At 43.5% G+C, this 14,033-nt stretch overlaps 1 annotated feature.

Annotated features, from left to right (window-relative positions):
• Positions 1,123-1,624: an enhancer, noted in NCBI's record as "NANOG hESC enhancer chr3:46646153-46646654 (GRCh37/hg19 assembly coordinates)". NCBI's record gives its function as "activates a minimal SCP1, AML or CMV promoter by ChIP-STARR-seq in naive H9 embryonic stem cells {active_cell/tissue: H9 hESC(naive)}" and the evidence as "EXISTENCE:reporter gene assay evidence [ECO:0000049][PMID:30033119]".

Genomic DNA, 14,033 nt, shown 5'->3' with positions numbered 1-14,033 from the left:
TCAGGCTGGTTTTGAACTCCTGGCCTCATGTGATCTTCCTATCTTGGCCTTCTATAGTGTTGGGATTATAAGCATGAGCCATCATGCCTTGCCAATAAATTTTATCTTATTTATGATTTTCTTAATAACATTTTTTCTCTATTTTATTGTAATAATGTAGTATATAATACACATAACACACAAAATATGTGCTAATATACTGTTTATGTTACCAGTAAGGCTTTGGGCCAATGGTACACTTGTAGTAGTTGAGTTTTGGGGGAGTCAAATGTTATAGGCAGATTTCGACTGCATGGGCCATCAGCACCCCAACTCCTGTGTTGTTGAATGTCAACTGTACAATCTTTCTTCCTGAGATAGAATTTATTCCTTTTTTTTTTTTTTTTTTTTTGAGACGGAGCCTCGCTCTGTTGCCCAGGCTGGAGTGCGGTGGCACGATCTTGGCTCACTGCAAGCTCCGCCTCCCAGGTTCAAGCAATTCTCTGCCTCAGCCTCCTGAGTAACTGGGATTACAAGCGCCCACTACGACGCCCAGCTAATTTTTGTATTTTTAGTAGAGACGGGGTTTCACCATCTTGGCCAGGCTGGTCCTGAACTCCTGACCTCATGATCCACCCGCCTCGGCCTCCCAAAGTGCTGGGATTATAGGAGTGAGCCACAGCACCCAGCCTAGAATTTATTCTTTGTCCTTTTCTCTGCTTTCTGGATTTTTTTTTCTTCTTTTGCTAGTAAGGTATCCATAGAGACTTAATCAAATAGGCATATTGAAAAGGGCATGAACTATGTTCAAATAGGCATATTGAAAAGGGCATGAACATGTGACTAGCGGGCCCATGCTAGTTAATTAGTTTTGCCAAGACCCAGCTTCTTCATTGTAAAATAGGAATGTTAAAACTTGTAGAGAGATATAATAATATTAAGCAGTTGTTTTTATGAGTATTATAAATAACAACTAATACTCTTTTTAGGTGTCTGGTACTGTTCTAAGCTACATATACATGCACACCTCACACACACAGAATAATCCTATGATATGGGTACTATTATCATCCTCATTTCATAGATAAGAAAACTGAAACACAAATGGGTAAGCACTGTATCTAAGATTTTGTGAATGGTGACAGATTGGCCTTTGAATCCAGTAGCCTGACTTCAAAGTCGTAATCCAATGTGAGCTCCAGCATTTAGAGTTGTTCCTGTGCTTAAAGGCTACACCCAGACTCTTGTGTGTCTCTGCCCTTGTACTTCCACCATCTGTTCCTACTGCTAAGATACATGAAGAAGGGGGATGAGATCCCATACAAAGTTTTGAGAGTTGCTATAATTTGGATGATTGTCCCCCGAAAACCTCATGTTGAAATTTGATCCTCAGTGTTGGAGGTGGGGCCTAATGGGAGGTGTTTGTGTATTAGAGACAGATCCCTCATGAATAGATTAATGCCCTCTCTCCAAGGTGAGTGAGTTCTCACTCTATGTTTCCACAAGAGCTGGTTGTTAAAAAGGGCCTGATTACCTCTTGCCCCGCCTCTTGCTTTCTCTTTTGCTGTGTGATCTCTACACACACCAGCTCCCTTCCACCATGAGAAGCAGCCAGAGGCCCTCACCCAATGCGGATGCTGGCACCATGCTTCTTGTACAACCTGCAAAACCATGAGCCAAATAAACCTCTCTTCTTTATAAATGAACCAATCTCAGATATTCCTTTATAGCAACACACAATGGACTAAGACAGGGGTTATGAGACAAGACAAGACAAGATGACAGTCTGAAGGATAGACTCCCCACAGGACATCTCTTGGGAGCAGAGTCACCAGTGGTATAGCAGGGGAGTACAGACAGGCTTTGTCTTAGACTTGCTTTTTTTGTTTGTTTGTTTTCAACTTTGTGTTTTGGAATAGTTATAGATTTACAGGAAGTTGCAAAGAAATGTACAGGGAGGTCCTGTGCACCCTTCCTCTAGTGTTAGCTTCTTGCATAACCATAGCACAGTATCAAGAGCAGGAAATGGACATTTGTACTATCCATAGGGCTTCTTCGGGTTTCTCACATGCACTTGTTTGTGTGTGTTTGTGTGCCTGTATAGCTCTATTCAACTTGGTCATATTGTAACCAACCGGTGGGTTCATTTTGCCTGCTGCCTAGATAGAGCTGATTTATCAAGACAGGGGAATTGCAATAGAGTTTAATTGCAAGAGTTTTATACACATAGAGCTGGCTAAGTGGGAGACTGGAATTTTATTATTACTCAAATCAGCCTCCCCCAAAATTTGGAGGCTAGGGATTTTCAAGGATTTTCAAGGATATTTTTGTGGGCAGGGGGATAAGAAAAGAGGAATACTGGTTGGTAGGGAATGCAATTAAAGAGGTGTGGAAAATGGTCCTGGTGTGCTGAGTTTGCTTTTGGGTGGGGCCACAGAGGAGTTGCCAGTCCAGGAGGAGCCATCCAGTCACTGGAATGCAAAAGCCTGAAAAGATATCTCAAAGGCCAATGTTAGGTTCGACAATAGTGATGTTAATTACAGGAGTATTTGGAGAAGCTGCAAATCTTGTGACCTCCAGAATAATGGCTTGTAATTATTTAACTATCTTAGAAGAATTCAGGCTCCTCTTGTAATGTGGTAGCCTTTCATGAGTTTTACAAAAGAGGTTTAGTTTTGGGAAGGGGTATTATCATTTAAACTGTAAACTAAATTTCTCCCAGAGTTAGCTTGGCCCATGTCCAGGAATGAACAAGGGCAGTTTGAAGGACAAAGGCAAGATGGAATTGGTTAGGCCAGATCTCTTTCACTGTCATAATTTTCTCACTGTTATGAGATTTGCAAATGCAGTTGCAGTATGTGTAGATTTGTGTATCTATTGCAGTCAAGATACAGGCCCATTCCATCACAAAGGTCCCTCTGATTGCCCTTTTAGACTCCTATCCTCTTCCCTCCCTTCCTTTCTCCACATCCTCTAATAGTAGTTTCAGAGCACAAAAACTACAAATCTGTGCTCTGTAACATTTTGAGAACGTTATATAAATAGAATACTACTGTGTGTGACCTTTTTTGAGCTTGGCTTTTTGTACTCAGCATAATTTCCTTGAGATTCATCCAAACCGTTGCATATACGAATAACTTGTTCCTTTTTATTGCTAAGTAGTATTCCACGGTGCGAATACACCAGTTTGTTTAACCAGTCACCTGTCGAAGGATGTTTTGGTTGTTTCAAGTTTTTGAGTATTACCAATAAAGCTGCTAGGGACATTCACGTACAGGTTTTTAGCGGACATAAGTTTTCCTTTCTTTGGGATAAACACCCAAGAGCTCAATTGCTGGGTCATATGATAAGCACATGTTTAGTGTTTTAGGAAACTGCCAAACTATTTTCCAGAGTGTCTGTACCATTTTATATTCCCACCCTGCATATATCCTACTTAATATCTTCCTTTTCACTTGTCATGTTTTGCTTTGCTTTTTAATAAACTTGCTACTTTAAAATAATTTCACATTTAATAGCAAAGTTTCAAGAATAGTACATGGAATATCCTTCACCAAGATTAACCAAATGTCATTTTGCCACCGTTGCTGTAGCATTTCCTGACTCTTTCTCTGTCTCTTGCTATACCCACCACCTATCTATCCATCTAGTTCTGTTTTTGAGTCGTTTGAAGGTAAGTTGCAAACAACATGCCTTTTTACCACGAAATTCTTCATTGTGTATTTCTTAAGAACCTCTAGAATAATGGCTTGTAATTATTTAACTATCTTAGAAGAATTCAGGCTCCTCTTGTAATCTGGTAGCCTTTCATGAGTTTTATAAAAGAGGTTTAGTTTTGGGAAGGGGTATTATCATTTAAACTGTAAAATAAATTTCTCCCAGAAATTTAGGCCAGATCTCTTTCACTGTCATAACTTATATAACTACCATATGGTGATCAAAATTAGGAATTTTAACAAATGTTATCTAATATACAAATACTTTTCAGATTTGATGCAACTTATAGCAATTCTTTTTCCTAGGATTCAATCCCAGATCACACACAACATTCACTCGTCATGTCTCTTTAGCCACTTTTAGCTTAGCACACTTCCTCAGCACCCTTTTTTTCTTTTCTTTTTCTTTTTTTTTTTCAGATGGAGTTTCGCTCTTATTGCCCAGGCTGGAGTGCAATGGCACGATCTCAGCTCACCACAACCTCCGCCTGCCGGGTTCAAGCAATGCTCCTGCCTCAGCCTCCCAAGTAGCTGAGAGTACAGGCGCACACCACCATGCCCGGCTAATTTTTGTATTTTTAGTAGAGATGGGGTTTCACCATGTTGGTTAGGCTGGTCTCGAACTCCTGACCTCGTGATCCACCCGCCTCAGCCTCCCAAAGTGCTGGGATTACAGGCATGAGCCACCATGCCCGGCCTTTTTTTTCTTTTGTGACACTGACATTTTTAAAGATCACAGGCCAGCACTTTGTAGGATGCCTCTTAATTTGGTTTTGGTTGATGTTTCATCATTACTAGACTCAGCCTGTGGATTTTGGGTGTGAGTGCCACTGAAGTGATGATGTTTCCCATTGGGGCATCCTCACAGGAGGCGTAAGATAGCCATTTGTTCCTATATTGGTGTCAACATTGATCACTTGATCAAGGTGGAATCTACCAGTTTTCTCACTGTAAAGTGACTATTTCTCCCTTCACAATGAATAAGCATCTTGTGGGGAGATGCTGTGAGACTCAGCAAACATCTTGTTGCCCGTCAAACTTTCAGACTCTAGTTTTAGCATCCACTGATGATTCTTGCCACTACCAATTTTTATTATGATGGTTACAAATGTAACTTTCCTTTATTTTATTTTATTTTTTTTTTGAGACAGAGTCTCGCTCTGTCACCTGGGCTGGAGTGCAGTGGCTCGATCTTGGCTCACTGCAAGCTCCGCTTCCCAGATTCACGCCATTCTCCTGCCTCAGCCTCCCCAGTAGCTGGGACTACAGGCGCCCGCCACCATGCCCGGCTAATTATTTATATTTTTTAGTAGAGACGGGGTTTCACTGTGTTAGCCAGGATGGTCTCAATCTCCTGACCTCGTGATCCACCTGCCTCAGTCTCCCAAAATGCTGGGATTACAGGCGTGAGCCACCACACCTGGCAACTTTCCTTTATTTTTAACTTATTATTTTTTAGAGATGAGATCTTACTCTGTCACCTAGGCTGGAGTGCAGTGGCACTATCATAGCTCACTGCAGCCTTGAACTCCTGGGCTCAAGGGATCCTCCTGCCTCAGTCTTCGGAGTAGTTGGGACTACATGTGTGCACCACCACACCCTGCTAATTTTTGTATTTTTTTTTTTTCTTGTAGAGATAAGATCCTGCTATGTTGCCCAGGATGGGCTCAAACTCCTTGCCTCAAGTGATCCTCCTGCCTCAGCCTGCCAAAGTGTTGGGATTGCAGGCATGAGCCACTGTACCTGTCCACACATGTAATTTTCTAACTCAATCTTTCCCTCTTCATTTATTAGTTGACATCCTACAGTAGAGAAGTTTCCTCTTCTCAACCATCAGCCTATTGGTCTCTTTACCTAGATATCAATTTACTATCAGTATGAACTTATAAATTATTATTTCATTTAATAGCTTGTAAGTCATTATCACTTTTTTTTTTTTTTGAGACAAAGCTCACTCTGTCACCCAGGCTGGAGTGCAGTGGTGCGATCTCGGCTCACTGAAACCTCCGTCTTCTGGGCTCAAGCCATCCTCCCATCTCAGCCTCCCGAGTAGCTGGGACTATAGGTACAAGCCACAATGTGCGGCTAATTTTTGTATTTTTTGTGGAGATGGGTTTTTGCCATGTTGTCTAGGCTGGTCTTGAACTCCTGGACTTGAGTGATCCTCCCATGTTGGCCTCCCAAAATGCTGGGATTACAGGAGTGAGCCTCCGCTCCCAGCCATATCGCTTTTAATTTTGATGCTCAAGTTGTCTCACATTTGGCCAGTGGGAGTCACTTCAAGCTGGTTTCTGTGTCCCTTTGAGGTGTCCCCATCATTCTTTGTGCACATCTTTACTTTTGGCACAAGATGCTTTAGTGTTATCTTGTATTTTCCCTGTCCCAGCCCTGGAATCAGCCATTTCTCCAAGGAGCTCTGGCACCTTTTAGAGGAGAGAGGAATTTATAAACAAGACCCGACACTGGGTGTGCCTGTGCCATGGAGGGGTCCTAGCTTCCAAGTCCTTTCAGTGCTTGGGTCTCGGGCTTTCTGAAGTGAGTCATGGGGACACTGTAGATCCTGGTGCTGTGGTTGCTTTCTAGTCACATTTACTACTGGGGCAGCCCAATACAACGGGCATGGGACATTTTCTGGGTTGAGGGTTTCATTGACTCCTATCGTGGGCTCTGTTAGGCCAGTGGCAGCTGCAAGAGCTGTGTGGCTGAAGCAGTCCTTGGAGGACAGGGGAGAAGCAGGGGCCATAGCCGAGGGTCTCTTGTAAAATGCCCACAGGCAGAACATTTGGAAAATAAAGCTCCTGTCCCCGGGAGGCCCTGATAGATGGAGATTTTGCTTCTATTACCATTACTATTGTCATTGCACAGAGCCTTTCTTCTTTCTCTTCTCTTGGAAATGAGAGATTTATGCTGCTTAAATGTTTGACCATGGCTGTCCCCAAACAATGGAAGAAAATTCCAGGGTTTGCCAAGGCCCAGGTGGATTTTGAAGCATTGCGTTCAGCACGGCATATACTCTTGGCTCTCAGAGCTGACTGATTAGATGTGGTAGTGGGAGCGGGCAGGGGGAGAATGGAATAAATGGAATGAAAAGATGCCTGTCCTGTGGAAGATAAGAACCCAGGTTGTAAAAACCCTCCACCAAATCACCTAACTAAAACCCAGCCTGCAAACCAGGAATCCTAACCATCGAGAGTTGATTCAGCTGCAAGAGAGTAGGAAGCTGGTCCACCTGGCAGATTCACAAATGAAACTTTGCAAGTCATCCCATTCATATGGCAGGGGGCGACTGGACTGAGTATAGGGACTGAGTGGGAGCAGAAGAAGTTAGAAGTCGTTGGTCAGAAAGGGCTGGCAGGAAACATGCTTGCCATCTAGTCTGTGGACATTGAAACAGCCCCAGGAAGGGCCATCTCTATCCTTTGTGATGGGGGCTCTGAGAAATCCCTCATCAGAGGAAGAGGCCTTTGTTCACTGCTGAGATGCCAGGACAGCTCCTCAACAGTGCTTAGACCTTTCATAGGCAAGTTCAAGGTCAATATGCCAGAAGCTAGGGGGTGCGAGGAGCCAACTCACTTCTTCAGCTGATTCCCACCTCTTAGTAGTGTTGGTTTTGTGACACTGGAAGTATCTATACGAGCCACACGGTGTTTCCAGCCTTCACTTGGCTGCTTTTCTGGCATAGGCTGACCAGACCAGGAAAGGCCTCCCCAGGGTTGGTAGCATGGACCTTACTATTAACCTAACAATGGTCTTTCTTCCTAAGGCTCCATAGGGTGAGCTCTGTTCCCTGCAGGACCCTATGATGACGTGACATTTACACATGACATATTAGTTACCCCATCACATCATAGTTGGAAGGAGAGTAAAAATGGTAAAAAGAATGTTTAAATTTAAGCATAGGAGATAAATTTTCTATGAAAGGGAGAAAGAGGAAGATGAAACTAATGTTTATGTACATTGTATTGTGAAGCATTGTATGTTATATTGTAGTCTTCTCTGAAAGTCTTTACACGAGGTTATCTTCTTCTTCTTTTTTTTTTTTTTTTTGAGACAGAGTCTTGCTCTGTTGCCCAGGCTGAAGTGCAGTGGCACAATCTCAGCTCACTGCAACCTCCAGCTCCCAGGTTCAAGCAATTCTCTGCCTCAGCCTCCCAAGTAGCTGGGATTACAGGCACCTGCCACCGCGCCGGCTAATTTTTGTATTTTTAGTAGAGATAGGGTTTCACCATCTTGGCCAGGCTGGTCTTGAACTCCTAACCTTGTGATCCACCCACCTCAGCCTCCCAAAGTGCTGGGATTACAGGCATGAGCCACCGTGCCTGGCCTATCTTCCCTGTTTTAAAAGCATGAAAACTGAGACTGAGAAAGACTGAATCACATGCCTGTAACTGAATCACATGCCTGTAACTGAATCACATGCCACAGCTTAAATGGCAGAGCTGGTACTCAAATCTGTCTGATCTCAAAGCATGCAAGTGCTCTTGAAGCTGTTATGCTTGTATCTTGTTGAAATTGATCCGTATGCTAAACACACTAAATATCAATGGTAAATATCCACATAAAACCTTATTAACATTGTGTAATTTGAACCAGACTTGACAAAAACATGTTGTCATTTCTAGTCATCATTTAACAGGGAGGAGGTAGGAAATTCAAAGTTAAATCTTTGATACTTAAATAGAAAATAACTATTAGCCAATGTGGTCAATTAAAAACAGATGACCAAATAAATGGCCAACTAAAATGGGATGGCTGAGCTTTGCTCAACAGAAAGTGAAGGAGTCTACAACTTGGAGTCTGCAAGTGTAGGTTCTGGAATCCAATTTACTCCATGCAACTCTTGACAGCTCAACATCACTAGCTGTGAAATGCACAGCAAGGGCTTCATCTCTGTTACGATGTGGCCTGGGATTGACTGGAAAGCAAGAAACCCTCATGAATGTACAGCCCAAAAGACCACATCACCAAATATAGACAATTAGAAGATGCACATAACCAAGATGACAAAGGTATGGTCACCATTCCACCCAGCACTTTGAGGACAGACTTAACTACAGATATTCCAACTTCTTATCCCTGAAGGATGCTACTACTTGAAGATCATGGTATCTTTTTTTCTTGGTTTCTAAAAGATGGTCACCATAAATAAAGAAATCTCTGGGCTGGGCAAGGTGGCTCACACCTGTAATCCCAGCACTTTGGGAGACCGAGGTGGGTGGATCACCTGAGGTCGGGTATTCAAGACCAGCCTGGCCAACATGGTGAAACCCACTCTACTAAAAATATAAAAATTAGCCTGGCGCAGTGGCTCATGCCTGTAATCCCAGCACTTTGGGAGGTCGAGGGGGCGGATCATGAGATCAGGAGTTCGAGACCAGCCTGGCCAATATGGTGAAACTCTGTCTCTACTAAAAATACAAAAATTAGCCAGACGTGGTGGTGCACACCTGTAGTCTTAGCTACTTGGAAGCCTGAGGCAGAAGAATCGCTTGAACCCGGGAGGCAGAGGTTGCAGTGAACCGAGATCGTGCCACTGTACTCCAGGCTGGGTGACACAGTGAGACTCCGTCTCAAAAAAAAAAAAAAAAAATTAGCTGGGTGGGGTGGCAGGCGTCTGTAATCCCAGCTACCTGGGAGTCTGAGGCAGGAGAGTCATTTGAACCCAGGAGGCGGAGGCTGCAGTGAGCTGAGATCGCGCCACTGCACTCCAGCCTGGGACACACAGTGAGACTCCATTTAAAAAAAAAAAATCTCTGGATGGCTAGGCCAGATCCAAGGGAAGTCAGGAAATAACATCAGTGACTGACCAAGGGGCTGTGTCCCTTACTCTGCCATATCTGGGTGGCTTTCACCTTGGGCCATCTTGGGCCCCTTTCACCAAGACCATGGTGGACTGTTAAATAGGAAGCAGCTGAGCATCTGTTGTCTCCCTCCATCCCTCAGCAAGCCCCTTACCAGGCTGGGCTCCTAATGGACAGGTCAAGAGTCCTGAGTCGTGATTGTGAGTCTGCAACGATAAAAATTTAATACAGACTTTGTAGAACACTTTTTAGTTTACAAAGTGCTTTCAATTACATTATCTAATTTAATCAGTTATCAATGAGGATTTTGAAAAAGTGTTAAGAAATGCAACAAATATAATAAAAGACATAGACAGGCAGGGGAAGGCCCCCAAATGATGCTGCTCCTGTTTCAGAGGGGGTGATGAGAGAAGAGGAGGAGGCCTGCAGGGGAGCAGGCCCATGTGTGCTGGGCCACCTGGGCAGGGCACTGGACTTGACAGAGGGATTGGGCAGAGTCGCCGACCTGCATACCCCACTCCCCCTGCCCGCCACAGACCCCAACTGATACAGTGCCAGGAACTGGAGCTCCTCTGAGAAGCATCCTCTGCAACTCTGACAGAAGCCTCCCTCTGAGGCTTTAAGTGTCTTTGAGTGTTCTGGGAAGACTGTACCACTTTGTGATGCAGAAATCTGTGAGTAATTGGAAGTCTGTGCCACTGGCGATTTATCTTCAAGGACCTCATTTAAAATTGTGCATGGCAATGGATACGAATTGCGAAATTGACATGGCCTGGGCTTGTGTCTCACTTGGCCTGACATTTTCCAACCCCTTTATAAATCGGATCCGTATTCCATTACTTTCAGATAAGCAGTTCCTGCTTGGCTGTTGAGGTGGATACTAGTTAGTAAGCCACCCTGGATTACACTAGCATTTTCACTGGAGTGTTCCATGTCATTCTCTGAAGAAAACATGAGATCAGGGGAAGATTCTCCAGCAGTACTGTTGGGTAGATTATTTTGAGCAAGAGACTCTTTGGGGTCTTTCCAGACACTGAGAATGAGGCTACTGAGTCCAGTCAGGTCTGCCTGGGCACGTCCTTAGGTTTCAAAGTATACAGCTTGGAAAGGGTGGAGGTGGATCACAGAGCAGCTCTCTTGTCAGCCTCAAGGCGGGCTTCATGGAGAAGGGATCAGGCTGCAGTGACCACGGAATGGAACCCGCTCCACTCTGCAGCCCAGGGGTGGGTGAACAAACGTGTTCAGGTCACGGCGCGAGCTGACATCCTGGGTCTGGGGTGCAGCCTGTGATTTGTGAGTGACCATGGCACCAGCCAGGGCGCTGCTGGACAATGGGGGGTGCCAGCAGTTGGACTTGAGGGCTTTGAGGACTTCCACCATTAATGCAGGATCGGTTCTTTCCAGGCTCCTCCCAGCTGTTCTACTAGGGTCTAATTACTCTTCTGTCAGTTAAGGCCTTTTATGTTATCTCCTGATGAACAAAGTGTCATCAGGGGACAGCCTAGGGGACTGGGAGAGTCCAGGGGCCGAGTTAAGACATGCTTTGGTGGAGTTGTGGCCTTGGAAACGCTTATCATTCTCAACCCTCCTATCATTCTAGATTCATCTGTGAAATGAGGGGATTTCAGGTCATCTCCACACATTTAACACACAGTGATTTCTGAGAGGGTTCCTAAGCCGAGGTCCATGGACCATGGATGGGTTTCAAGGGACCCATGAACCCTCTGAGCCTACATGTGCTCATCTCTGTGTGCTCATATCTGCACAGGGCTCGGTGACAATGATACTGGCAGAGCATTCTAGGGAGATACCATTCTCATTCTTCAAATGAATGAACTCACATCCAGTCCTCACCTCAGCCTTCAGGGGCACAGAGAGGGTAAGTGATTTTTCCGAGGTCACACAGCGGGCATTTGGGCTCTGTAGCCCAAGCTTTTGTCCACTTTACTACCTGTGGGTAAGCAATGGTCTTTCTTTTTTTTTTCTTGTATCTGATAAAAACCTTCTCTTTTCACCTGAGGAGATGCTATAAAGACTAACAAGGTGTTTTAAGGTTAAATTCCTCTTCCGATTTAAATCACCAGTGCTGACTTAATCACTAATAATTAAACCATCAATACTGATTAAAATCATCGGTAATAAGTTAATTGTAATGCATCAGTTGCAATAAATCAATGATTTACATCATTAATAATGAAACTTTATTAAGAGCTATGGGAAAATTGGTACATGAAAAGCAGTATATATGCATGACTTTCACACAATTCTTTTTTCACAGTAGGTGACTGATGTCAGATAATCACTATTTTTACAGATTCCTGTAATTTTCAATTAATGTCCTATGGAAACCAGTCTATTGTATTCTTCACAAAGATGGTTAAAGATATTCCCAGGTCTTGCACTGGCAGATTAGTTTTTCTGTAGTAAAAATATATTAGCCTGTGGTCTGCTGTTACCCAAGAATGTATCTATAACAAAAATAAGCAAATAAAAAAAAGGAGACATAAAAGATTACTCATTACTCATAAAATGTTTTTCTGTAAACACCCAACATGGGACAATTATTTCATTATAGTCAAGCCTGACAGCCTCTCTTAGCTTTATGTTTTTGTGTGTTTATTCTGGAGGCAGTTTGACTTCCTCTTTACTAATTTGGATGCCCTTTCTTTCTTTCTTTTGTCTGATTGCTCTGGCTAGGACCTCCAGTACTATGTTGAATAGAAATGGTGAGAGTGGACATCCTTGTCTTGTTCTGGTTCTCAGGGGGAAGGAATGCTTTCAACCAAAAGCCAATTTTGACTTTTTTGAAGATGAAATGCTACAATAGCAATGTCAATTGTTCTGATTAATATAATGTAATGATTTATCTAACCCTTAGTTCTTCCTTTTTTTTTTCCAATTGAAAATAAATCTGAATGGGGACTTTATAATTTCCCATTTGCCTTTGATTCCTAGCATTGGCGTCTGCCATGGAGAGCTCACTATATGGAACTGGGACAAATCTGAGAACTACTGGTTTACACCACACAATCAGCATCAGAAATACCTGTGCAGGTCAGAAGTGCTGTATCACCAAGGAGAAGAATGTGAGCTCCCTCTTCTGTTTTCATTTCGCTCTCTCCCTTCTTTTTCCTTTTAGACCAGTATTGACCCCGGGGATGCGGCTGGCCAGGTCTGCAGGGAAGCGCAGAGACTCCTAGCGGGTGACCAGACCTGACGGGGCCTGCTTCTCCTCTGAAGGAGCTCAGCCTCTGCACTGCCTTGTTCTTTCTTTACCATCTTCCCCGTGTTGGGGGATGTAGGAGACAGTCTAAGAAGTGCTAATTATTACGTAAGAGGGTCTTGTCACTGTTAATGAGGAAGACCCTCTTCTTGCCCATCTCCCCTCTTCCGCCTTCCCTCTCTCCCTCTCTTCCTTTTATCTTTCCTTCCGCCACTTATCAAGCTTCTATGAAATGGCCCTAGGATTCTCACAGCCAGCACACAGGTACCGAGGATGCGTACAGACCAGTCGGGCTGACAGACTTGAAAACATGTCAGTGTGATGGAGCATAATGGAACCTACAAGAGACTAAAGGTACATGAGGGGATTCAGTGGGGGCTCACAGAGTGGACCTTCTCCTATGGCAAGGGCAGGGGTCCGGGAGGTAGGAAAAGTAGGAGGGGCATGTGGGAGCCCCAGACTGTGTTTCTCCCTCCCAGATGAGGATGCTTGTATTATACTCGTGCCAAGGTAGGCATTAGATTTTTTAAAAAAAATTTCCATAGGTTATTGGGGTACAGGTGGTATTTGGTTATATGAGTAAGTTCTTTAGTGGTGATTTGTGAGATTATGGTGCACCCATCACCTGAGCGGTATATCTTGCACCCTACTCATAGTCTTTTATCCCTCTTCTCACCCTTCTCTCCAAGTCCCCAAAGTCCACTGTATCATTCTTACGCCTTAGTGTCCTCATAGCTTAGCTCCCACTTATCAGTGAGAACATACGATGTTTGTTTTTCCATTCCTGAGTTACTTCGCTTAAAATAATAGTCTCCAATCTCATCCAGGTCACTGCAAATGCTGTTAATTCATTCCTTTTTATGTCTGAGTAGTATTCCATCTACTGTTTTTTGATTTTTTGATTATGGCCATTCTTGCAGGAGTAAGGTGGTATCACATTGTGGTTTTGATTTGCATTTTCCTGATCATTAGTGATGTTGAGCATTTTTTTCACATTTGTTGGCCATTTGTGTATCTTCTTTTGAGAATTGTCTATTCATGTCCTTACCCACTTTTTGATGGGATTTTTTTTTTTTCTTACTGATTTGTTTGAATTCGTTGTAGATTCTGGATATTAGTCCTTTGTTAGATGTACAGATTGTGAAGATTTTCTCCCACTCTGGGTTGTCTGTTTACTCTGCTGACTGTTCCTTTTGTCGTGCAAAAGTTCTTTAGTTTAATTAAGTCCCAGCTATTTATCTTTATTTTTATTGCATTTGCTTTTGGGTTCTTGGTCATGAAATCCTTGCCTAAGCCAATGTCTAGAAGGGTTTT

The sequence above is a fragment of the Homo sapiens genome, chromosome 3, assembly GCF_000001405.40.
Source record: "Homo sapiens chromosome 3, GRCh38.p14 Primary Assembly".
NCBI classification, from domain to species: Eukaryota; Metazoa; Chordata; class Mammalia; order Primates; family Hominidae; genus Homo; species Homo sapiens.
The sequence above is the reverse complement of the archived record's forward strand: the minus strand, read 5'-3'. Positions and strand labels throughout refer to the sequence as shown.